This window comes from Homo sapiens, chromosome 5 (genome assembly GCF_000001405.40).
Source record: "Homo sapiens chromosome 5, GRCh38.p14 Primary Assembly".
Lineage (NCBI taxonomy): Eukaryota > Metazoa > Chordata > Mammalia > Primates > Hominidae > Homo > Homo sapiens.
The window spans coordinates 149,005,737-149,032,255 of record NC_000005.10 but is presented as its reverse complement, the minus strand read 5'-3'; the positions used below and the strand labels follow the sequence as shown (position 1 = coordinate 149,032,255).

Here is a 26,519-nt window from a genome sequence, read left to right as displayed (position 1 = left end):
TTCCAATCCTCTTAATGTTGACTAAACTGTTGTTCTATGCCATGGAATCAGACCTTAACAATGGTGAAAGATTCCTCTGACCATGGTCAGATTTTCTTCATTGTTCTTCTAGATTGTGTCACTTGTCCCTTGCTTTTTCTTGAAGTAACCTAAGGACAAATAAAATTTTTAATGGTCCCTTTTCAACCCTTCCATTTAGGGCAATTGATTCCTCTTTCTTCCATTAAAAATGGGTACCATGGTGTCTCAAAGAATGGGTAGAGGTTGAGAGAAGGGGCTTTGTTTTTCTTGGGAGATGGGGTTTTAAGAGAAGGGGTGTTTTCATCCCCACTTTGACCTACTGGACAACCACACCCCTCAGTTCTCCCAGCATGATGTGCTAGTAGCTCTTCTTTTTTGGCAGTATAAATACAGTATGCAATGGTGAGATGAGGAATCTAATTTCATTTGCGGGAAGTTGGTTTGATGACTTTTCTGCATCCTCCACTACATCCTAGTGTGGAGAGAAGAGGAGATGGAGTCTGAAGCCTTGCAGTAATCTGTCTCTGTGTTTTTTGCCCCGATGCAGGAGCAGGAACTCTGCCTTTCTCAGTGATGAGGAGAGATGCTCCCTGTTGGCCCTGGGAAGTGATAAGCAGACTGAGTGTTCCAGCTTCCTCCACACTCTTGCTCGCACTGACATCACATCTGTCTACCGGCTCAGTGAGTGTTGGTCCTCAGACACCTTCAAAAGCCTGGGGTCCTCAAGAATAAGATAGTGTCCCTAACCAGGAATAGAATACCCCTAAATTCTAATCCTATTCATGAATTTGGGTGGCCATGACCACTATTCTGTTGACGACCTGAATCATATTTGATTAGCAGCATTTCACTTTAGATTTCAGGTAATTCTGGGGTTTCAGGGGAACTATGAGACATGATGAAACCAACTCACCTATACCGTGGGTGACTGGCTGTACTGGGTCTTCCCTCCTAATCTTGGGGGAGGAGAACTTCCTGAGTCCTGGCTGAGGTACCTTCTAGGACTGAAGTAAGCCCCCAGTGAGATGGGTGGGGCTGTAAATGTTACCGCTGTGAAAAGGCCTTAAGAGATGATTTCTTGTCTCACATTACAGATTGGGAAACAGGCCTAAACGAATTAGTGCCTGAGCTAGGATAAGAACTGCTAGTCAGAGCAATCCACTTTACCACACTGCCCCTGACACAAAATGACTTTGAGTTGTTGGGTGTGTTAGTCTTGGATGTTTTCTGTGTCATGGGATCAGATCTCAACAATTGTGAAAGATTCCTCTGACAAACTGACTGGTTTTGAGCAGTGTCTGAAGGACTGACTGACTGAATGAATGATACTCTTACTTTGAGAAAGGCCTACTGTTGTGTGTCAGGGAGTACATTTTCTCATTGATGGTGACTTGAGGAAGAATTTTTGTTTCTCCCATCTCTTCATTGATGGTGACATTGTGTCCGCTCTTGTGTAGCCAGATTAGATGATCCATATTTTATGGATACAGCTAGAGATTCTGCTGAAGGGGCCCTCAGGCCATCTCCCAGGAGTAGAGCAGGGAGTTGAGAGCTATGTCCGTGCATAAAGAGTGTTTGTGAAAGCACATGCCTCAGGCATAAGCACCCTGCCCTAGCAGAGCTTTCTTGCCACAAGCCACAAGCAGATCATATTGCCTTATGAGGTTGAGCAGGAAGCTAGAGTTGTAAACACTGCCCAGTAGGCGGGAGCCTGATGTCTGAAAATTGAGGTGTACTAGCAGTGTTCCTTGGGGAGAAGGCCTGGGCACAGACTTGGATCATGATTTCTGCCAGCTGTTGGTCCAGTGGTGGGGAGGATGTAAGAGGAGGCCCCAGACAGCACTTGACTCTCACTCAAAGATCAGGAGTGCAGCTCTGCGGCGTGCAGTCCGCACCTTATGGTTGTGCAGGCTGCCCCAGCACCAAGACAAGCAGCAGGAGAACATCTTGTTGGTAAATTGCAGCTTCCCCAAGGCGTATACCATAGGGAAGGATGGCCCTTTGTAATTCTTCCTCCTAGAGAGGGGACACCATTTTGTAACTTGCGCATCACTCATACTCTTGGCCAGAAGAGAAGAGGTGGCCCAAGAGGGGCGTGTACCCCTCCACATCAGAGAGGCCAGGGCATTTGAACAGCTCTCCTTAGCCAAGCTCTATAGCTCTTCATCTTTAGCTGCGGGGCTTTCTACCCTCTGGGGGTTACAGATCTGGAGGTTCTGCAATGACAATCTCTGGAGATGCCATCCTGGAGAACAGCAGGAAAAGGTTTGACTTGGTGAGGGGCTTGCTGGTCCTCAAAGTTCACTAGAGAACTCAGGGTGGTGGCACAGACAGTTGTTACTTCTCTGCTAAGAAGAGGTAGAATCTTCCCTCTAGCAGCTACCATCCTGTGGAGTGTGAAGCTAGCCTTCACCTCCACAGTTCCACTGTGGTTGCTTTAGCCAACAGTGGTCACTTCTTCACTGCCAAACCCAAGGTGTCTTCTTGGTTCTTACCTAGTCCGGTTGCACTTGGTGGCAATAGGTGGTTATGTTTTAAGTCACCTTGGCCTCTGTAACCCCCTTTTCTCTCTGACTGTGCCTTTTCAGTCTCCCTCACTGGCTACTGGCTGCCAGTGAGTTGCCCAGGCTTATTAACAAACTCCCCCTACTCCCTCACTCCCTCACTCCCCTGCTGCTTTTCTTTTCCCCCAGATGCCTCACCTGTGTGATTACATTTAGTCCTGGGACTCTGGCCAGCAATTTGTGACCTGCTTTGGGTCACAAACCTGTGTTTGCAAAGTCTCAGTTTTTCTCCTTGGCTCCAGACCTACATCATTATCTGCCTAGAGCTCCTGCAGCTACCTCAAACCCCAAAGGTCTAAAACTGCACTCCAGATTCTCCCATCCTCTACTTCAGTCTCAGATGCATCCTTGCTCCTTTTTATTCGCCCTTCACTTCTGGCCCCTCGCCCCTGCCACTTTTACAAACACAGTGTCCAGCCCAGTGGACACATGGAACCAATGTCTGCCAAGTGGATGAATCATGAATGAATGGAGGAGGCAAGAAGGAAGGATGTGATACATTTAGAAGTGGGAGGCAGCACCATGTGCTCCCACGTGTTCTGTGCTGGGAGTTGTGTCCTGGCTCCATCGTGAACTCGCTGAGAGATTTGGGAGCTGCATCTCTCTGATCTTCAGATTCTATCAGGACCCCCACTGTCCCCACCCCCCACCCCCCTACAGTACCCATACCTCTTGACATAGAGCCTGTGTTTCCAGGTTTTCTTCTCGGACTCTGAGTTTCACGTATACCTTGGTTCCCAACTGTAAAGTGCATGGGTTAAACAAGATGATTAGGCCCCTACAGCTCTTAAGATGATGGGTGAAAGGATAATTCTGCCCTGTTCCTTAATGATGACTGAAGGTCTTGAATGCCAAGGCTCCTAAGAGGCCACTGATCTGGGGTACACCTGGAGGCATGGGCATGGTGGCCCATCCTGACCTAACACCAGACCTGTTCTTCATCTCTACTTAGGTGGGTTTGAATCCATCCAGAATCCTCCAAATGATCTGAGTGGTGAGTAGCGATCATGCTGAACCTGACATTCATCCTTGAGGACAGCACTTCTGTCCTCTTGCCAAGAGCGGCCACCTTAGGTGCAGGTGCCCAAGGTTGCTCAACTTTGCCTGTCCTTACAGCATCCCAGCCTGAAGGTTTCAAGGAGGTCAGGCCTGGCAGAGCCTGGGAGGAGCATCAGGCCGTGGGGTCCAGACAGTCCAGCAGCTCTGAGGACTCCAGCCTGGAGGAGGAGCTCCTCTCGGCCACCTCAGACAGCTATCGCCTGCCGGAGCCTGATGACCTTGATGACCCGGAACTGCTCATGGACCTAAGCACTGGTCAGGAGGAGGAGGCTGAGAACTTCGCCCCCATATTGGCTTTTCTGGATCATGAGGGTTATGCTGACCACTTTAAGAGTCTCTATGACTTCTCCTTCTCTTTCCTCACTTCTTCCTTTTATAGCTTCTCTGAGGAGGATGAGTTTGTGGCCTACCTGGAGGCATCAAGAAAGTGGGCCAAGAAGAGCCACATGACCTGGGCCCATGCCCGTCTCTGCTTCCTCCTGGGCCGGCTGAGCATCAGGAAGGTCAAACTCTCTCAGGCCAGGGTGTACTTCGAGGAGGCCATCCACATTCTCAATGGAGCATTTGAGGACCTATCCTTGGTGGCCACTCTGTACATCAATTTGGCTGCCATCTACCTGAAACAGAGGCTGAGACATAAAGGCTCCGCCCTGTTGGAAAAGGCAGGTGCCCTGCTGGCCTGCCTGCCTGACCGTGAGTCTAGTGCCAAGCATGAACTCGACGTGGTGGCCTACGTGCTGCGCCAGGGGATTGTGGTGGGCAGCAGCCCGCTGGAGGCCAGGGCCTGCTTTCTGGCCATCCGCTTGCTCCTGAGCCTAGGCCGGCACGAGGAGGTCCTGCCCTTTGCCGAGCGCCTGCAGCTCCTCTCTGGACACCCTCCTGCCTCTGAGGCTGTGGCCAGTGTTTTGAGTTTTCTGTATGACAAGAAATATCTTCCACACCTTGCAGTGGCCTCTGTCCAGCAACATGGTATCCAGAGTGCCCAAGGGATGTCTCTTCCTATTTGGCAGGTCCACCTTGTCCTCCAGAACACAACCAAGCTCCTTGGCTTTCCTTCCCCAGGCTGGGGTGAAGTTTCTGCCTTGGCCTGCCCAATGCTCAGACAGGCCCTGGCTGCCTGTGAGGAACTAGCAGACCGGAGCACCCAGAGGGCCCTGTGTCTCATCCTTTCCAAAGTGTACCTCGAGCACAGGTCTCCTGACGGTGCCATCCACTACCTGAGCCAGGCCTTGGTGCTAGGGCAGCTGCTGGGTGAGCAGGAATCCTTTGAGTCTTCTCTCTGCCTGGCATGGGCCTATCTCTTAGCCAGCCAGGCCAAGAAGGCTTTGGATGTGCTTGAGCCACTGCTATGCTCCCTGAAGGAGACAGAGAGTCTCACTCAAAGGGGAGTCATCTATAACCTCCTGGGACTTGCACTCCAAGGTGAAGGCCGGGTGAACAGGGCAGCCAAGAGCTATCTTCGGGCCTTGAACAGAGCCCAGGAGGTGGGAGATGTGCATAACCAGGCAGTGGCTATGGCCAATCTTGGCCACCTGAGCCTTAAGTCCTGGGCTCAGCATCCAGCCAGAAACTATCTCCTGCAGGCTGTACGACTCTATTGTGAACTTCAGGCCAGTAAGGAGACAGACATGGAATTAGTACAGGTGTTTCTCTGGTTGGCCCAAGTTCTGGTGTCTGGACACCAGCTGACCCATGGCCTTCTTTGTTATGAAATGGCATTGCTGTTTGGCTTAAGGCATCGACATCTAAAGAGTAAGTATGTCCCATGCTGCTGGGAAGCTATAGAGAAAAGTGTTGGATCAAGTTTTATCCATTTCCTATCTCAAGTCATCTCATTCATGTCCCTGCTTTGTGTTCAGGTCAGCTTCAGGCCACCAAATCCCTCTGCCATTTCTACAGCTCTGTGTCCCCAAACCCTGAGGCATGCATCACCTACCATGAGCACTGGCTGGCCCTGGCTCAGCAACTCAGGGACCGGGAGATGGAAGGGAGGCTGCTGGAGTCCCTGGGGCAGCTTTATCGGAACCTAAATACCGCCAGGTGAGTCAGGGTCAGGAACTGTCCTAGAAGCAGCTTTCCTTCCTTAAGGAGAAACAGTGTTCTTTCCCACAGGAAGCAAGTCCAAATGTACATGGTATAGGCGGGGCTTTGTGCAAAAGAGCAAGGGCTCTGCAGCCACCACAATGCATCCATCACTTATTAGTGGTGTAGCCTTGGGCAAGCTATTTAATTTCTCCATGTCTCAGTTTCCTCATCAGCCAAAGGAAGATAATAATGGCATCTATCTTATAGTGTTATTGTGAAGGATAAATGAGTTAATGCTCATAAAACACTCATAACTGTGCCTGATACATAGATAGGTCTCAGTAATGCCACTGTTACTTGTGTGTTTCTATAACCACCTGTCACAGGATCATGACTGAGGCTGCATAATTCAGAGAAGTGGCAGTTATACCAAGGACAGAAGAACCTTCAGGAGGTCTTCATTGCCAAGGGCAACTGGTTTTAAAGAAAGGTCACCCCCACTGAAAGCAGGGGTGTAAAATGTCATGGTAAAAAAAAGTTTTATCGGGAACTTACCTTTAAAATGAAATTGTAGATTATGAAATGAAGTGTGTTTTCACCTTTTAGTTAAGAATATTTAGATTACAATTTCAACTTTGCATTAAGTCTTAGAATAAACATGGAATAAAAGGAGTGTTGACTTTTTGGCTTAATTGTGCTGACAAAATGATGTAACAGCACAATGGAGCATTCTTTGTTTTGTGATTGATTTTTTAGGACTACCTTAAAAATCCTCATTTTTGTAAAAATAAATCAAAACTTAACAGTTTAACCCAAATACCTCCTTTAACCCTTTGGTATTCACATTATTATCACTTGAAGATTTTGCCATCTTCTGTTGGTTTTCTCTTCATTGTTTCTTCACTGGTCTAATGCTGCTTCATCCTCATTTGCCAGAGGGCAGACTGAAGTTCTGTTCTGTAACAAGCCTTAAATTGATTCCATTAAATCCTGTGTGGTTTGCAAGATCTTCAAGTTCACTTTGCAACAGATTTGCTTTGCAGTATTGCATTCATAATTATAAATGACTTCTAAAATAGAGCATTCAGAATAGCTTCTAAAATCGCTACTGTTAAGCAGAGAGAGAGGTTGTTGAGGAGAGGGTAATTAAATGACTATATATATATTTTTTTGCATTTCTAAGCAACATGGTAACTGTGTGCACCTGGACAATCAGATAAGGAATAATCAGATAATGAATTCCACTCCCCCTTCTCTTTCTCTTCCAGTCTGTCTTCCTCTCACTCTCCCTCATTCTTTCCCTGTCTTGTAAGAATCAGGTGTCCTCCAAACCTCCTGCTGTCTTTGCCTTCAGTCCCAGGGAGGGAGCTTTGGATCCATGCAGCATGTGAGGAGTCAGGAGGCCCCAGCTCCACCCTGCTTTCATTCTAGGACACCCTAGGAGTCTGGATGCTTCTGGAGAAGATCCAGAAGGCAGGCTTGAATTAACTATTGAGATGACATAGTCATATGCTCATGGTGAGGTATTGTAGGACTGGGCTCTGGAAAAGTTGGATTCTAAGGAACAGGAGCAAGAGTGCCAAATATGTGTCAGGCTATTGGCACCTCTGGCTACTGGGCAAGCTCAGTCTTAAATATTCCCAGACATCACCTACTCCACTGCCATCCTTTACTCACCAGCTCCCCACTCCAGATGCCTAAACCCACTGAAATATTAAGGGGGAAGCCAGAGAGAAGGCCCTGGATGCTGTCAGCATGGACCACAGAGGCCTTAGTTAAGACAGGATGCAGAATCACTGACCTGATGTGATGGGGATGGTGGAGAGGAGGTCAGGGGTGGGTCTACAGATGGCCCAAGAAGTTACTGGAGGGAGTCAGAAGCCACAGAGCTGGGAGGAAAGCAATCAAAACTGGATTAGGGCCAGGAAACCTGATCCTGCCATGACCTAATAATGTGTCCTTAAATAAGTCACTTTTCCTCTTGGTCTCTTTCCATCTGTAAAGATAAGTTGAATCAGATACCTTCCAGTAAAACGTTGAGTCTGGGACCAGCTAGCTATGCTATTCTGACACTGAATATTCATACTAGAATTCCTGCTGCCTCCAAAGTGTATTGAATTTTTGGTGCAGATTCTTAAAGTTGTGGGCTTTCTAGGGTGCCTCTGAAATCAGAGACCTAAGCTTTTAGGGCTTGAAAGACTTTGTAGTATGTTCAGAAGGTCTTGTGGGCAGACATTATGTCTAGCACAGAGCTTGGCATGGAGGAGACATACGGTGCATGTGTGTTTGGGGTAGCCAAGTCATTAGAGAGTAACTTAGTTCACTAGCTCACAGCCCTTGAGCTGAAGCTATATGCTGACATGGCTACTGATGATTATGACAGAGAATGGTGGAGCTTTGTGTGGAGGAGTCCCTGGCTCCTTTGCTCAGGGCTCAGGTAAGGAAAGAAAGGTGTTTGCAGCTTGGAGGCAGGCTTTTTGGTCTTTAGTGACAAGCACAGTAGTCACAGTGCCGTGAGTGGAACCTCAGCTTCCCATTCCAACAGCCCTTTGAGAACACTGGCCTATATAGTATTAGCCACAGAACACAGTGCATCTTTTCTTAAGGATTCTCCTCTGATAAAGAACCAAATTACATATAGTGAAGTAGAATATCAGAGATTTGATGTTCTACTTCATGAGGAACATAGTTTTTTCTAAAATTATGTAGTTGCTTAAGATTAAAAAGCATTACACCTTTTTAACCAGGCTGAGGCAGGTGAATCACTTGAGATCAGGAGTTCAAAACCAGCCTGGCCAACATGGTGAAACCCCATCTCTACCAAAGATACAAAAAAGTTAGCCAGGCATGGTGGTGGGTGCCTGTAATCCCAGCTACTTGGGAAGCTGAGGCAGGAGAATCGCTTGAACCCAGGAGGTGAGGTTGCAGTGAGCCGAGGTCACACCACAGCACTCCAGCCTGGGTGACAGAGTGAGACTGTCTCTCAAAAAAAAAAAAAAAAAAGGATTACACTATTATTGAAGGTTATAGGTGAAAAATAAAGGTCCCCTTCCAACTTCCCTTTCCTTGATACTTTCCTGAAGTAACTACTTAAAGATTTTTAAATACCCATCAAGGAATATTTCATGCATTTTAAAGTTTATATATGATACATATTTTCTATCTTAAATAAATATTAGATATTAAATATAATATGCACGTTTTAGTTACATAAATGGAATCATGATAAAATGTCTATTACATAATATACTGTTCTGTTCTTTGCTTTTCTCGTTTAAAAATATCACTGTGAAATGTCAATCCAACATTTTATCACACTATGGGAGCCCTTCCATTGTGTCAGGCACTGTGGTAGTTATTGGGGAATTCAGTGGTTAGAAAAAACAATCCAAATACCCACAAACAGAACAGTCTGCCCTACATAAGAGTGAGCTTGTTGCCTTTACAAGTATTCAAACAGAGACCGACTATTCAAAAATTTTACAAAAGAGTTTCCTGAATTGAGCTGGATCTGGAACTACTTACTAACAGTTTTATTGAGGTTTAATTACACACCATAAAATTCAGCCTTTTGAAGTATGAAATTTAGTTTTCAGTATATTCACACAGTTGTGTAACCATCACTGCTATTTAATTTCAGAACATTTTCATGGCCCCTGAAAGAAAGCCTCCTCATTACCCACTCCTCATTACCCAACCTCACTCCAACCCTGGAAACCACTAATCTACTTTCTGTCACTATGGATTTGCCTATTCTGGACATTTGATATAAATGGTATCATACAGTATTTGTCCTTTTGTGTCTGGCTTCTTTCACTTAGCATAGTGTTTTCAAGGTTCATCCATGTTGTCACATGTATCAATACTACATTACTTTTTATGGCCGAATAATATTTTGTTGTACTGATATACTACATTTGTTTATTCATTCATCAGTTGATGGACATTTGAATTGTTTCCACTTTGTGGCTATTATGAATAATGCTGCTGTGAACATTCATGAACAAATTTTTGTGTGAAGAAGTGTTTTCAGTTCTCTTGCATAGACCTAGGAGCAAAATTACAGAGTCACACCATAATTCTATATTTAAACTTTTGGGGAACTGCTAGGTTGTTTTTAAAAGTGGCTGCACTATTTTTCTTTCCCATTAGCAAGGCATAAGGGTTCCAATGTCTCCCATCTTCACCACCACTTGTTAGTGTCTGTCTTTTTTTTATTTTAGCCATTCCTAGTGGGAGTGATATTGTATCTCATTGTGGTTTTGATTTACATTTTCTTAATGACTAAAGATATTGAGCATCATTTCATTTGCTTCTAGCCCTTTGTGTATCTTTGGAGAAATGTCTATTCACGTGTCCATTTTTTAAATTGGGTTGTTTGTCTTTTGATTTTTGAGTTGTAAACATTCTTTATATATTCTGGATACAAGTCCCTTATCAGATATATGATTTACAAATATTTCTTCCCAGCCCATGGGTTGTCATTTCACTTCTTGATCCCTCATAGAGTGAGTTGGGAAATATTCCTTCCTCTTCAATTTCTTGAAAGAGTTTGTGAGGCAGGAGAATGGCGTGAACCCGGGAGGCGGAGCTTGCAGTGAGCCGAGATCCCGCCACTGCACTCCAGCCTGGGCGACAGAGCGAGACTCCGTCTCAAAAAAAAAAAAAAAAAAAAAAAAAAAAAAAAAAAAAAAAAAAAAAAGAAAGAGTTTGTGAAGGATTGGTGTTAATTCTCCTTTAAACATTTGATGAAATTCACCAGTGAAGACTTCTAAATCTTGACTTACCTTTGTAAGGAGTTTTTTTGTTTTGTTTTTGAAAATTGCTAATTCAATATCATTAGTTGTTATAGGTTTATTTAGATTTTCTGTTTCTTCTTGAGCAGTTTTGGTAGTTTTTGTCTTTCTTGGAATTTGTCCATTTCATCTAAATTAACTAATTTGTTGGTATACAATTGTTCATATTATTCTTTTATAATCCTTTTTATAATTTCTATAAAGTTGATAGTAATGTCCACTTTAATTCCTGAGACTCTTCTCTCTTTTTATTCTTGATCAGACTAGCCAGAGATCTGTCATTAAAAAAACATTTTAAACAAATTAAATTTTGGCTTTATTGATTTTTTTCTATTCTCTATATCATTTATTTTTGCTCTCATCTTTATTAATTCCTTTCCTCTGTTTGCTTTGGGTTTACTTTGCTCTTTTTGTCTAGTGTCTTAAGGTGGAATATTAGGTATTGATTTGAGATTTTTTTCTCTTTTAATACAAGCATTTACAGCCATAAATGTTCCTCTGAGTATTGTGCCTACGCCATTTTATATATTTCAGTATGCTGTGTTTATTTTCATTCATCTCAAAGTAGTTTCTAATATCCTTTGTGATTCTTACTCAGTTCATTGGTTATTTAGGAGTATGTTGTTTAATTTCCACATATTTGTGAATTTTCCAAATTTCCTTCTGTTACTGATTTCTAATTTCATTTCTTTGTGGTGGGAAAACAAACTTTGCATGATTTTATTCTTTTTACATTTGCTGAGATTTGTTTGGTGGCCCAACATATGGTCTATTCTGAAGGATGTTCAATGTAAACTTGAGAAGAATGTGTATTCTGTTGTTGTTTGGTGTAGTCTATAAATATCTTTTAGGTCTAATTATAATTTTTTATTTCCTTGGTGTTCTTATGTCTAGTTCTTCTATCCATTATTGAAAGTGTGTTATTAAAACCTCTAGTTGTTGTTGAGTTGTCTATCTCTCCCTTCCATTCTGTCAGCTTTTTCTACATGTATTTTGGGGCATTGTTATTAGGTGCTGCATATATATTTATAATTATGCCTTTCTGATGGATTGAGTCTATTATCATTATAAAATGTCCTTCATTGTCTTTAATGACAATTTTGGTCTTTTTATCTGATATTAGCATAGCCACTCTAGCTCTCTTTGGTTACTGTTAATGTGGTCTATACTTTTAGTCTATTTGTGTCTTTGAATCTAAAGTATGTCTCTTGTAGGCAGCATGTAGTAGAAACATTTTCTTTCTTCTCCATTCTTCAATGTTTGTCTTTTAACTAGAGTGTTTAATACGTTTACATTTAATTACAGGTAAGGTAGGATTTTTGTCTGCAATTTTGCTATTTTTTCTCTGTATTAATAGCTTATATCTTTTTGTTTTTCTATTTCTCCATTACTGCATTCTTTTGTGTTAAATAGATTTTTTCTTGTATACTATTTTAATTTCCTTGTTATTTCTTGTCCTGTATTTCTTTCAGTTATTTTCTTAATGGTTACCCTGGGGTAATAATTAACATTTTTTAAAAATAAAAATCTTAGCAGTTTCCTGATCATGCTCACAGCCCTGTACATGCATGTGGTCTTCTAGATTCCCAGGAATATGTCAGAACTTTTAAAACTTTTTATGGACATCTCATTTCCCAACTTTTCCTAGTGTGTGTGTGTGTGTGTGTGTGTGTGTGTTTGACCTTTTCTTGTTTGCTCCACATGTTTTCACCACCTAAGGCAGTGATCATATTAAACAATTGCTACTAATTATTTTTGACATATGCCTCAGGGAAAAGGCTGTTCTGCGCTGAGTGAGCTCTGAGTGAGGTTAAAGGAAAACAAGCCCTGTGAGCAGAGGCTTCCAGGGAACTTCCAAACAGATCAAACAGTAACAGTTCTCTGGGGATGGAACTTTGGGGTATTTCAAGCTCATTGTCTCCTTCAGTGGTTGCTAGGTTGCTGGTTTTTCCAGCTACCATTATTGTGAGGCTGTTGGTTTTTAAGTGTACCACAGAGCTAGGGACAAGCAGGATGTCTCTAAGGCAAGTTGAAAAGCAATGAAGCTCACTTTCGTAACAAGATTCCGCCGTTTTCCTAAATAAACACTCCTTGCAAACCTTTGGTTAATATCCAGAGTTCTGAAACATTTTATTTGGATAATTTTTGCCTGTTTTCATTGCTTTTATGGAGGAGTAAACTTTTGGAAATTTTTATTCCATTGTTCTGTAAATTGATCTAGATTAGGATTTTTAATTTGAATAGTTTATAGTTTTAAACTCTGAGATTCCTATTTGTACAATTGGGAGGAAATAAATATCCACTTTTGCTTTACCACTAATATAAGTGATATTGAATGGAAGATTGGGAAATATTTTAGGTGTCAGAGGAAACCCCTGTACACATAAGGTCATTGTCCCTTTGCAGAATGACCAGTTCAACAAAGAGAACATGCTGTAATGCTATATTTATTTAGCATGTATAAATCACCTTCTCCTACAGAACATTAAAAAAAATACAAGAACAAAGACCAACTACAGACACAGATAAACGGGTGTTTCTATGCACCCGGGGGTGGTTACTGTAATTTAGTACTAAGCTTCCTGGTAGCTGAGTAAAAAGGGGAAAGCTGTATGAGGTTCTCACTGTCTGACAAAAGAACATAAACACATGTATCTGTTGGAGCAATTTTTTTCCTGGCACAGATTGCTTAGGAGGAATTTATTAAGTGGGTCTTGATGTAATGGACAGATTTCTTCAACTAAATTCCCCTCTAGGGATTTGCATTCTCACAAAGCTCAAAGCCACAGCAAGCAAAGGCAGGAAGTGTTCATGGAAGAAGTGGCAGGCTTCTGTAGGGGGAGGTTTGTAGGGAAAGGAGACAATGCTTTCAGCAAAGGATGGGGGTGATCTGTCAGGGAAGACTTTATCAAGGTGGTAGCATTTGAGGAGGCCCTTGAAGGATAAGTAATATCTTGAAAAGTGGAGAAGGGTAGGTTTTAGGTGGAGGGAATAGCAGTAGCCATGGAGAGGTCAGGACACATTTGAAAGACATTTTGTAGATTTAACAGACAGGTTTTGGTGATCAGCTGGCTATGAGTAGTGACATGGTTTGGCTGTATCCCCATCCAAATCTTACCTTGAATTATTGCTCCCATAATTCCCATGTGTTGTGGGAGGGACCTGGTGGGAGGTAATTGAATCATGGCACGGTTTCCCCCATACTCTTCTCATGGTAGTGAATAAGTCTCATGCGATCTGATGGTTTTATAACAGGAAACCCTTTTTGCTTGGCTCTCCTTCTCTCTCTTGCCTTCTGCCATGTAAGACGTGCTTTTCACCTTCTGCCATGATTGTGAGGCCTTCCCAGCCACATGGAACTGTGAGTCCATTAAACCTCTTTTTCTTTATAATTTACCCAATCTTGGGTATGTCTTTATCAGCAGTGGGAAAATGGACTAATATAGGTGCAAAGAAGACTCAACTTCTTCCCTAGAAGGAGATATGGAGGTTGGTGGGCATGGGGGCGGGGGGTTGCAATGGGTATCCAGACCTGTACAGTGAACATCCATAGTGAAAATTATGGCCATAATAGCCTTCAGTGAGCATGCATTGTTTACTAAGCCATATATAAATCTCAGGACCACCCTCTGACGTAGAAAGAATTGTGGAAATTGAGAACTAAAGAAGCCAAACAACTTGCATGAGCCTTCCCAGCAGGGATTGATATCCAAACAGTGTGTATCTAGAGCAGGGTTAGCAAGCTTTTCAAATAAAGAATCATATAGTAAGTGTTTTAGGCCTTGTGGGCCATATGATCTCTGCCACAAGTACTCCACTCTGCAGTTGTAGTATGAAAATAGATAATACATAAGTGAATAAATGTGGCTGTGTTGCAATAACACTTTATTTACAAAAGCAGATTGAAAGCTGTATTTGGCTCATGGGCCATAGTTTAACAACTCCTGATCTAAAATGCATAGTCTTAAGCACTCTATGTATTCTGTCCACCCAGCTATTAATTTTTGCCCTAGGCAAAAGAAATAGGTGTGGAAGGCTATAGAGTGAAACCTTGTAGAATTGTATGGAGGGGCCTCGTTTTTCATCAGTCTGTTCCCTGCCTGCCACAGAGAGTCCAGACAATTTCACCACTTGGTTTCACTGGTACTAGCTCAGATCCTTGACTTCTCAATTTATGATCTTATGCTGCCTTTTTACTGATTTTAATTTCTTTTATTTGAAAGATTTTCTCTAGGGTTTAGAAGTGGGTTATGGTGTGTGTGTGTGGGGCGGGGGGCACACAGGTAGATAGTGAAAACTTTGTCCCAGCCTTCAGGTTTTTACTCTGGGACACTTTTCTGTCCCTTTGTCTAATATCTGCAGGATCATGCCTTCTCTGCCTTCCAGGGGACAACTACAGAATTTAGTTTGATAAAGGTTTGCAGTCTCTCAATGGGAGGGATCTTAGGGAGTCTTGTCTTCTGTCTTGAGGTGACACAACACAGACTGGCCATAGAACTGAGCCGGATGGGGTCCATGAGAACTCTGTGGCTCTATTAAATCTATTAAATCAATTCAACAAATATTTACCGAGCATTTACTATGGCCCAGGCACTGTGCTAAAAACTGAACAAGGGTGATAATAGTCCATGAGCTCACAATGATAACAGAATAGTACAGAAAATAAACGTATAAATAGCCACTAAAGTTATCGTATAAATTGTGGTAAGTGCCACAAAGGATGTGCATATTATTATTTTTAGAAAGAAGGGATGCCTTGCATATAATAGGTCCTCTCAAAATAATGATTAATTCTTTGCATGTGAATACAACAGTAGCCTAGCAGTCATTGCTCCTGGCTTTTATTCTTTTTTTTTTTTTTTTTTTGAGACGGAGTCTCGCCCTGTTACCCAGGCTGGAGTGCAGTGGCGTGATCTCGGCTCACTGCAACCTCCGCCTCCTGGGTTCATGCCATTCTCCTGCCTCAGCCTCCCAAGTAGCTGGGACTACAGGCGCCCGCCACCACGCCCGGCTAATTTTTTGTATTTTTAGTAGAGACGGGGTTTCACCGTGTTAGCCAGGATGGTCTCGATCTCCTGACCTCGTGATCCGCCCGCCTCGGCCTTCCAAAGTGCTGGGATTACAGGCATGAGCCACCGCGCCAGCCGTCTGGCTTTTATTCTTACATTTATGCTTCTTATTTTTCTGGAACTGAAAAAAGTGCTACGTTTTAAAATATATAATTAATATGTTAATCCCTAACACAGAAGCAATTCTTTTCTCATTTTTGTTGTAAATAAGGAAAGAATTGCTTTTCCTGAAATGTCATCATCTGATCACAAGGCTATAATGCACACTACCACCCCAGTTTCACACATGAGAAAACTTTGTTCAAGGTTTAAAATAGCTTATGTCTTTTAAAACTTCAGGACTTTTAAAGTGGTAAATGAAACAAAAGTCTTCCCAAGTGCTAATATCTGAGCCAGAAATTCGGCACTGCTGGAGGGTGTAAATGTAAGGGTTCTGGGTCAGACTCTGAAAGTTAGATCCTGGTTTAAACAGGGCTTATTACTTGGTCCAAGATAGTTACCCTTACCAAGCCTTATTTTTTTTCTATTAGTAAAATGAATATGATAATAGTACTGATCTCTTGGGGCTGTTGTGATGATTACATGAGATTTTGCGTGTAAAGCACCTAGTACATACTAAGTGCTCAATAGATGTCAGGTAATAATACTACCATTGTTACTTTTATAAGACAAAGCAGCTGAGAGCTCAAAATAAGGCTTTAGAAATGTGCAGGAAAACTTAGATACGTTTCAAAAAACAAATCAAAACAACAACATCCTACTGGATTTCTTTATTTGCAAAATGGGCTAAGAATTCTAATGGCTTGGGATTTCTATGGGGATTAAATGAGAAAATGTATACTGAAAGTACACATCCAACACCTCACACAGAGTCAGCCCTCAGTTTTTGGCCATCTTTGTCATCAAAACAGGACATGACCAATTAGTGGAGGCTGGGCTTTGGCCAGAGGTTAGACAGACTCATCCAGGCAGGGCAGGGACCTGGGAAGCCCCAGCAGCGGGTGGTAAGAGGAAGTCTGGAAATGCAGGTGTATTGGGGTCACTTGGCCATGGGCTTATGGCTGATGTTCAGGCAGGGAAGAAGAAACAAAGACTTAACCCCAGAGACTGAACTTGAGGACAGGAAAAATGAGAGAAAGAGAAGAGTCAAGATTGGAAAGGACAGGAGATAACATGCCGGAACACAGGCACAGGAGAACCAGAAATACACAAGGCTGATGCAGTGCTGGCCCACCAGCAGTGCTCCATGCTTCTTTGGCTTTGGAAGCCAAACCAAACCTAGAGTCTGTGGGTGGCGGCTGGAGGAATTGGCATTCTGGGCCATCTGGTGCTCAACTGGTAGGTGACACTGCTTGGCCACTGGCAGATGTAAAGTAATGGGGGTGAGTGGTGATAGGAAGGAACCAAGGAAGCTGGACTACTGCCCAGTTTTAGACCACAGAAGCACTTGTTTTTTTACTGGAGATCATAGATCATGTGCAAGTCTTGGTGAGAGTCAGTTGTCTTTGGAAAATCTTCCATTTGCAAGGAGTCTCAATGGTGCTGTGTGAGCCACTAGGTCTCTGTAAGTCTTGTCTTCCCCTGATGGGGCATTTCTTGGAAAGAAATAGAGATCTCCTCTCTTCCACAGTCATAATGAACTCAGAGGGAGAAAGTGCCAGAAGCAAATGCTGGCTCTGTCAGTTGGCCTGTCTGTAATAACCTAAATCTTGTTCCCTGAAGGTCTGGAGAAAACAACTATAGTAGCCCAAGGGCATCCCAGGACAGTAAATGGGAACATAAAAAAACAGAGCAGGAAATAGGATGAGGATGAGATTTATGGGTCTTGTCTTCATCAACTGCTCTAGTGAGAGTGAGGAGAGTTGTGGAGGCCAGGCCTGCTGAATCTCAACCCGGCTTGAGTTTGCAGGGTACAGAGTGGGGAGAGAAAGGCAGGGCTTCCTATAGTGAAAGATGCCTGTGGTTACTGTAGCTGAGCTGAGGAGGTTGGTGATCACTGCAGCATGGTGTGGAGTTTTTCAGCTCATTGTATTCTCAGAGGAAGTTTCACATTTTAAAACTTGAGAAAGAGTGGCCAGCGCCCATTGGGATGTCAATAAATCTCATGTTAAGAGCAGGGAGGAAGAGAAAGCTTGGGTTTTTTCTTTCTTACAAGGGCCAAATGCCTGGCACTCTCTCCAGAAGGCCAACAGCTGCCTCATTGCCAATAAGGATCCGGGCCTTAGGAGTTGAGAGCAATGCTTGTTTCCCTCATGGTGCACAAAGGGGCCTGGTGGCTGAGAGGTCCATAATCAAGTGGTAACCACGTTTGTTGAGGACTTTCTACTTAAGTGTCCATAGATGTGATTGATGATGATCGGTATTTCTGGGAAGAGTTGCATGGTTTACTGCAGTGGTTCTCAAACTTTGGTGTGCAGGAGTGTAACCTGGATGTGTCTTAGGAATTCAGGTTCCTGGATTGCAACTGTAATGAATCTTTTTCAGTCAATTTGAGGTAGCTCTGGGGGATCTGTGCTTTGAATAAGCTCCCTATGAAATGCTGATGCAGGTGGGCCACAAATCATGTTTTGGGAAGTATGAGTGTTATGGGACAAGTCCTAGGTTGCTACTCAGAAGAAGGGAGTTCTGGCCTTGGATCTCCCCCTAATGTACTGTGCAAACATATGTAAGTTATTTCCAGTTTCTGGGCTTGTTTCCTCTATAAAATAAGAAGATTGGACTAGATCAGCAAGTCTCAAGCCAAGCTGCATGACAGAATTACATGGAGAGCTTAGACACAGTGCTTGTGCCTGAGCCATATTCCGAGACCCTGGTGCTCAGGCTATCATAAAGTTGCAACACACTGGGAAATAGTGTGGCAGTGTACACGTTTAAAATGCTTCCAGGTGACTCTAGTTGTTGCCAGGACTGAGAACTACTATCTAGATGATGCACAGTGTTCCTTCCTTGTTTTTGAATACTGAATCGTCTGTGAGAAAATATATTACCTATGTCTCATTTCTTCATTGGTCCCTCCATTGACATGGAGGGAGAGTTTTCTACAAAATACAATTTTCCAAATAATTAAAGGGCACCCCATTAAGCACCAACCTGTTAAAACTTTCACTCTACTTTGATTTTTCTTTATAAACAAAACATCAAAATCTTTTCGATGATTTAAAGTTACCACTGTTGTCACTCATTCATGCATTCACTCAATAGGTATGCATTTGGTGTCTATTTTGTATTAGTAACTGTAATAGTTCATTCTCATGCTGCTAATAAAGACATACCTGAGACTGGGTAATCTATAAAGGGAAGGATGTTTAATGGACTCACAGTTCCATATGGCTGGGGAGGCCTCACAATCATGGCTGAAGGCAAAGGAGGAGCAAAGGCACATCTTAAATGGCAGGGGAACTACCCTTGATACAACCATCAGATCTCATGAGACTCACTGTCATGAGAACAGCAGCATGGGGGTAACGGCCCCATGATTCAATTACCTCCCACTGAGTCCCTCCCACGACATATGGGGATTATGGGAGCTACAATTCAAGATGAGATTTAGGTGGGGACACAGCCAAACCATTTCAATAGCATAACACCAAAAAAGGTTATAGAGCAGTAAAAGGGTTGATGGACCATGCATCAGTAATAATAATAATAATTATAAGTGATCTTTAAACATTCATCAGGTGCCAAGGACGTAATAGGCACTGTTCTAAGCACTTAGTTGTATCTCAATTTCATCCTCACAACAATCCGCTCAGGTGGGCACAATTATAGGTCTGTTTTACAGATAAGGAAACCAAGGCACAGAAGGATCCTGTACGTTCTCAAAGTCACACAGCTGATTGGGGTAGAGCTGGCATTCAATCAGGCCCACCTCCCTGTGTGATGTGGGACATGGCTGTTCCTGCTCAGAGCTTCTGTTTCATCCTGTGCTGAGTGGACCCTAAGGCCCCTTTGAGCCTTCACACCTCACAAGTTCATGTCTGTCCCCAGGTCCCTCAGGAGGTCACTCACATGCATCAAGGAGAGCCTGCGTATCTTCATTGACCTGGGGGAGACAGACAAGGCTGCTGAGGCCTGGCTTGGGGCGGGGCGACTCCACTACCTCATGCAGGAAGACGAGCTGGTGGAGCTGTGCCTGCAGGTAGGCCTCCTGCAGAGCTCTCTGGGAGTTGTTGACTTGGATCATTTGGGGAGGCAGCTGTACCCTCCAAATCAACCAGGGGGAACCAGAGAGGGATGATGTTCACCCTAAGCCTGTGGAGAAAGGGTCAACACTGGGCTGCTCCCTGAACACATGGTGGAAACCAGGGTGGTCTGACAAGCTGAATACAGGGAGCAAAGGGCCAGTCGCTGAGACCCATACACATGTGTGCACCCTGGGAGGATGTGAGGGGAGTCTCACATACCATCTGTAACGTCACTTGTCCCGTTAACTATACCTGTCTTTCCAAAGCTCAACATACACCTTGACTTTAGGGTTTTGCTGCAGTTTGAGGCAAGGTTGGTGTGTATGTGGGGTATTAACAATATTATTCTCTTATTTTTTTGTTTGTTTGCATACTTTTAATATCAGAGATGTGGTACAGTGTAGTGGTTAAAAGCCTGGGCTTTGAAGAGAGAAAAGCCTAGAGTCAAATCCCAGGGCCATCACATATGGACTGACTGTGTGACTTTGGGCTTGCCATATGACATCTCTGGGATTCAGTTTCTTCATGGGGGAACTGAACTCTATCTTTTAGCATAAGGATTAGTAAAACAAAAATTATATATCTCACTTGCATAGTAGTAAATGCATAGTAAGCATTTATTAAGTGCTCAGAACTTAGTAAATGTTTAATACATTATATTTTAGTGTTTTATTACTATCTGTACAATATCGATGTTAAATACTGTGGTGATATGTAAGATGTTTAATTCTACAAAAATATACCGGTTTTTTTCTTTCCCATGTTTTATTTTCTCTCTTTTTACTTCTCCTTATACTAGCACATAAACTTGCACAAATTCACTTCTACTGAGACTTAATAGCTGCATAACCCTGATTGCATGCTTCCTATGTACAGGAGACTTTGCCAAACACTTCACTTGCATGACGTAGTTTAACCCTCATTATAAACGCAGTAGGATTTTCCATTATAATTTCCATTTTACAGAGGAAGCTCAGAGAGGCTGAGTAATTTGCCCAAGGTGATACAACTGGTAAGTGGTGGAGCTGAGAACTGCACACAGTGTGACTTAGAGCCTTCACTCTCAGCCTCTACGCCATCTGCCTTGCGATTTTTGGGCTGAAAGGGTTTCCAGAGAGCAGACAATTCAGTCTTCTCCTTTCATGTTGTGGGAGACTGAAGCCCAGAGGGCACTGTTCCGATTGTGCATTGTTTTGGTGGCAAAGCCTCCTGACTCCAGGATTCCATCTCACTGCCCCTCTCTCTCTCTGTAGCTGCCCATGCAATAACACAGCAACTGCAGCATCTTGCCCCAGTGATGAAATGTTCACTGGCCAGAACTGGTCCCAGGCCTCACCCAACCCCAGGCTGCCACCTAACTGATGTTGTGCAGGGTCAATTCCATGGAAGTGAATCATTCTGGACCTGAGGCTATTTGAGGTCCTGTAACTGTGCTGCAGGTGCAGTGGTATATTCTTTACTCTTCAACTTCCTTAGCACATTTTGTGTAGATGAAATCCAAAATAGCTTGCTAGAGATAAAGAAGCTGTGGAGGTTAGGGTACTGGGATGGAAGACACCAACATTTGTTTGCCACTGACTATTGGCATGAAGCTGGGGAGGTTCTGTTTTCTTTTGAGCCACACTATCTCCATCTGGAAAGTGTAAGATGTTGAAGTGGATCACTATTTTTCCATTTCAGTTATTTACATATTAAATTCATAGTTTTGCTATATACATGTACCTTCTATACCATTGTTTACTTCTTTTTCTTTGACTCAACATCAAATCAACGTAGCTTTTTCTACACTTAGCCTTATTCTACACAATACTATCTAAAGTTGCAGGTTGGATGCATTATTAGTTTTTTTTTTCTAAAACACATTAAAATAAATACTTAACTAGTAAAACAAAATGTTTTTCTATATACTGTTAAAAATAATCTAGCACCACCAAAAGCAATCTCTCATAACAGGATGGGGAAATGCCAGACTGGAGAATGTCTAAAGTCCTCTTACCAGCCCTAGGAGTGTGAAGACATTTAGGATTTGGGGGACTTTAGCAGAGGATTAGTTGATTTAGGTGGTCTGCGTCTTAGCTCTGCCAGTCCTGTGGAGGTCAGGAAGCCCTCCTCTCTGCCTTTAACAGCTGTCTCTGTCCCACCTAGGCAGCCATCCAGACAGCCCTGAAGTCAGAGGAGCCTTTGCTGGCTCTCAAACTTTATGAAGAAGCAGGTGATGTGTTCTTCAATGGGACCCGCCACAGGCATCATGCAGTGGAGTACTACCGAGTAAGTCCAAGCTGTGCAGTTTGCTGAGACAGGTCCTGGCACGGGCATGGGAAGGGTCAGGCTGGACTTCGGCCTGAGTCCCTCTTCTCCTCTCTTGCTTGTATTTCATTTTTCTCTCTTTCTTGTCCAGTGCCCACCTACTCACTCTCTCTTCAACCTAGTGGGAGCTCAGGGAAGGTTCTGATAAACTTAGTCATTCTCAGGCTTGATAAGTTATCCTTCTTCGGATAATACATCAAAATAATTGAGTCCAGGAGATCAAGACCATCTCAGACTCTTGGGTGCATGGTACTTTATGGTCTGCAGCACACTTTTGAGTTTACCAGTGTTTCCCATTTACTACTGGGGGTGTGGTGGGAGATTATTTAAAGGGTTATGTAGATGAATGCTTTTGTTTGATCATATTTTTAATAAGCATGTATTAAAATATATTTTTTAAAATTAAAAATATATAATACAAGCTCATCAAACCTATGACTTCACAGATATTATTGCGAAGGATGAGGCAAGAAAAAGAGTTGATGTTAAGAATAACACAAATTAAATGAATGTCCAGATATTAAGCAGATATGTCAAAAATTGTGATTGTTGTTCATCACCAACTGAAGTTTAGGAAGCCTCATTATCTAATTTGATCGTAAAATTTTATTCATTCAGATATTCATTTATTTATTTGTTCAGTTGTTTATTCAGTCATCAAATGCTAGCAAATACCCAGTCTGTGCCAGGCACTGAGCTAGGGGTGGGGAAGAACAGGGAACGCGTCTCTGACTGTTGAGGGGCTTATTTTCATATGCATTTTGTAGATGAGAAAACTAAGGTTCAGAAAGATGAAGTGATTTGCCTAAAATTCTATCATGATAAAAACATAGAAATGACCACTTTTTGAGATATTCCCACACTATGCGTGTACTCATGTGTGCTTCATAGATAGCACCATGGATGCTAGGGGAGCACACAGCTGAGAAGGGAACGACTTTCCACGTGACCTTGGGAAAAGCCGCTTCCCTTTCCTACTCCAGGTTTCCCCAATTATAGGAAGCCCAATGCCCTCTACTTCTTCTACTTTAAGATCTGGGCAAAACATCATGAGCAAGGATCAGGAGAGAGAGGGTTGAGTAAAGGCACACAGGGAAACATGGCTGACTCCCCTTTGTTTTAGTCCACTGCCGTTCCCCAACCCCTGCCTGTAGAAGATAAGTCTCCTAGCTATGGTATGCACTGAGGATTCCTAGCTAGACTAAGGTTCCTTGGGCTTCTGTTCCTAGGCTGGAGCTGTTCCTTTAGCAAGGAGGTTGAAGGCGGTGAGAACTGAGCTCCGGATTTTCAATAAGCTGACAGAGCTGCAGATTAGCCTCGAAGGCTATGAGAAGGCTTTGGAATTTGCCACCCTGGCCGCCAGGCTCAGCACAGTCACAGGTGGGTGGTCTTCACTATTGGGTGTGTTGAATGAGAGGGGTGATTAGTCAAGGATAGACAGCAAAGCAATAACACCGCAGGCCCTGGAGTCAGACTGTGTGGGTTCAAATCCCAGGTCCAACTGTCAGAGAGACCTTAGTTAAGCAAGTTGCTTAACTTCTATAAGCCTCAAGCTTGTCATCACCAAATCAGGATTAAAAATAGTGCCCACCTCATGGTAGTTGTTATGAAGACCAGTGATTATCCATGTAACAGCCATAGCACAATCCTGGGTACATGGTAAGTCCTTGGTAAGTGTTGCCTGTGCCACACTATTATTATATTACAGGTGCTGTTGTTCCCCAAGTGTAAAGTAAATGATATTTTATTCTCTTCATAAGCTATGTTCCCATTGCAAAAGGACTGTGCCCTGAATTTTAAATTAGTTAATTTTTAGTTAAAAGTGCATTTTCCCATGAAGCTAAAATGTAAATGAAGGTCAGGTTCCCATTACCCTAACTCAGAACATAGCTGAATATCTTGTGTTTATGTCAAAAGCTAGTGGGAAACAATAATAGTCATCAGAACAGATAAATGGCAGAATAAAAAAGATTTAAAAACCCCTCATCTTGAATGTTGGTGTTTGAAGAAAAGCAGGTTTGATAGAGAAGCCTTGATTAGATGTAAGGGTAAATGTAATATTCTGTGATGATTCCAGGAGGGTCTTCTGGGCATTTTCAAGGGCATCGGGTGTGGATGATACCGGACTTTATTTTGTCTAATTGCATTCTTGAGAGAGCCTTCCCTCTTTTCCCTACCTTTTTCCTTATTGCATAGGATCTCATCTGAGTGACTGTGTGCTAATCTCAGGAAAGGCCTTGGAGGCCCCAGGCAGTTCCTCTGAGCACTCTTTATCCCTCACTGGATGGGAGCTGAAGGGAGGTTGTATGCATCCTTTATATAAGTACTTCCCCTGTGGCTGATTTTTCCATATCAGAGAATTTTCTCTCTCTTAGATTTTCTTTTTTAATTTTGGCTTTTGGCTCTTTGAAGCTTAAAAGTGATGTTTTTAGATGGTATCCCACAGCCACCTTGCAAATATTCCAAAGACATGATTGTAAGCCTTTGTTCCCTGTAAAAGATTGCTCTGTATTAAAACAAATCCACCAAACAACAAGTCATAGACCCGTTAGAAACCAGCATTCTAAAGCATGGTTTAAGTGTGAACAGGTGTTTGTAGCTTATCTGAGACTGACAGTAGGTAAAGGGGCCAAGGAGAGACTGCTACATGGTGGTACCCAAGATAATTCTCTGAAGAGAGAGACTTTTGTGTGAGGAAGACATTTATTATACAGAGTGATTTATTGCAATTCTTAGCTACTCCATCAAGCTAGACTTGTCACCATGTCCCATTAAAAGGGTTTAAGAAGAATTCTTTCTCAGAATCCTGCATTACAGTAGCATCTGCAATAAGGAGAAAATTTTCTTCTGGGAATCACTCCAGGAAACCTTGACCCATCCTCTACTTAGTCACTCTTATAGAGCCCTGCATTTTCTTTTGTAGCATTTATGACATGTGTAATGTTACATTTGTTTGTGGGATTATTTAAGGAATGTCTGTCATGTGAGACAATAAGCTTTATGAGTACAGGCACCTCTTCTGTCTTATTTCCTATGCCCCAGCACAGTCCCTGACATCTAGTAGACCTTCAAAAAGTTTTATGGAATGAATGAGTGAACAAATGATGCAAAGTGTTGGTTGCAGGATATCTCTCTCAGTCTTCCAATTCTTAGGAGATCAGAGGCAAGAGCTGGTGGCCTTTCACCGCCTGGCTACAGTGTACTACTCCCTGCACATGTATGAGATGGCTGAGGACTGCTACCTGAAGACCCTGTCCCTCTGTCCACCATGGCTGCAGAGTCCCAAGGAGGCCCTGTACTATGCCAAGGTGTATTATCGCCTGGGCAGACTCACCTTCTGCCAGCTGAAGGTAAGAGCCAGACTTCCCAGATTTCCTGACAGCCACCACCCAACCATTCTCCTTCCTGACTCAAAGACAATGAGGAGCCTTTGTGGTGGAGCTGAGAAAACCAGAGTGCCAAGATGAGAAGTCTTGTCTCATAGGGTGAGGAGTGGCTTTACAGGGGACATGGAAGCTCTTTCCACTTAACCCTGCTGAAGATCTCAAAGGTGCTCCCATCTTCGCTGAGGAGTAGACCATGGTTCCTCTTTCTCCTTGCCTTGCCACCATGTCTGTGGCTTCTTTATCTGTCAGATACTACAGGCACATTGCCTGTAAGTCTCTCAAGGGCCTATGGAAATATACAAGACCCCAAAACAAAAGAACTATAAGGTCTAAAATGAAGATCAAAATGAATACTTAAGAGTTTGTCCATAAAATGTTACAGACCAACTAGTCAACTGCAACTCATTTCTTATAAAGTAATGTAAAGCTACATTTTATGAGAAATGTGGGTGCATATTAACATGTTTGAGATAACGAGGTATGGGGCCTTTAAACTAAGTATACTTAGATCTTAAGAAGGTTTTATCCCTGCTTCTCTTGCTTGCTGAATCTAGAACTTCTTTTTTTGCTTGCTTGCTTTTTTTTTGGGACAGGGTCTTGCTGTGTAGCCCAGGCTGGAGTAGCATGGCTCAATCTTGGCTCACTACAGCCTCTGCATCTGGGGCTCAAGCAATCCTTCTACTTCAGCCTCCTCAGAAGCTGGGACCACAGGTGCACACCACCACACCTGGCTAATTTTTGTATTTTTTGTAAAGATGGGGTTTCATCATGTTGCCTGTCTCGAACTGCTGGACTCAAGCAATCTGCCAATCTTGGCCTCCCAAAATGGTGGGATTACAGGTGTAGTAGGCCATTATGCCCACCCCAGAACTTCTTATTATTTTGGTGACTTCTAGAGTTGTGTTGGTTGCAAATCTCTGTTACAACCCTGACCCCCAAACTGTGTCCCTAGGATTGGCTTCCTTTTACTAGAGGTCCCTGTCCCCTGAAGCACAACCCTTAATCTCTTAATATAGTGGCTTCTGAGTCACTCCTGTGTTTGGCCCCCAGGGAACCCTCAGGGCAGCTCTGCTGTCCTTTTCTTATTTGCCAGGCTTTGCTTCTGGCC

The 26,519-nt window shown here is 43.1% G+C and overlaps 1 protein-coding gene across 1 annotated transcript in view, besides 2 other annotated features; it reads left to right on the top strand.

The window, feature by feature from the left end:
- SH3TC2 (SH3 domain and tetratricopeptide repeats 2) overlaps positions 1-26,519 on the top strand; it is an 80,913-nt gene that overhangs the window by 30,807 nt on the left and 23,587 nt on the right. The window contains exons 9-16 of the mRNA NM_024577.4: positions 569-702; positions 3,538-3,579; positions 3,702-5,396; positions 5,504-5,684; positions 19,522-19,672; positions 21,864-21,986; positions 23,255-23,405; positions 25,179-25,375. Of these exons, the coding sequence (NP_078853.2) occupies positions 569-702; positions 3,538-3,579; positions 3,702-5,396; positions 5,504-5,684; positions 19,522-19,672; positions 21,864-21,986; positions 23,255-23,405; positions 25,179-25,375 (2,674 nt within the window). The remainder of the gene's footprint in view (positions 1-568; positions 703-3,537; positions 3,580-3,701; positions 5,397-5,503; positions 5,685-19,521; positions 19,673-21,863; positions 21,987-23,254; positions 23,406-25,178; positions 25,376-26,519) is intronic.
- Positions 966-1,135: an enhancer, noted in NCBI's record as "experimental_82036 CRE fragment used in MPRA reporter constructs". NCBI's record gives its function as "activates a minimal promoter by MPRAs in K562 erythroleukemia cells, with activity observed for both the introgressed and non-introgressed 5:148410769 or rs79031600 variant alleles {active_cell/tissue: K562}" and the evidence as "EXISTENCE:reporter gene assay evidence [ECO:0000049][PMID:34662402]".
- Position 1,050: a transcriptional cis regulatory region, noted in NCBI's record as "Neanderthal adaptively introgressed variant 5:148410769 (GRCh37/hg19 assembly coordinates) or rs79031600 in the experimental_82036 CRE". NCBI's record gives its function as "modulates activity of the experimental_82036 enhancer by MPRAs in K562 erythroleukemia cells {active_cell/tissue: K562}" and the evidence as "EXISTENCE:reporter gene assay evidence [ECO:0000049][PMID:34662402]".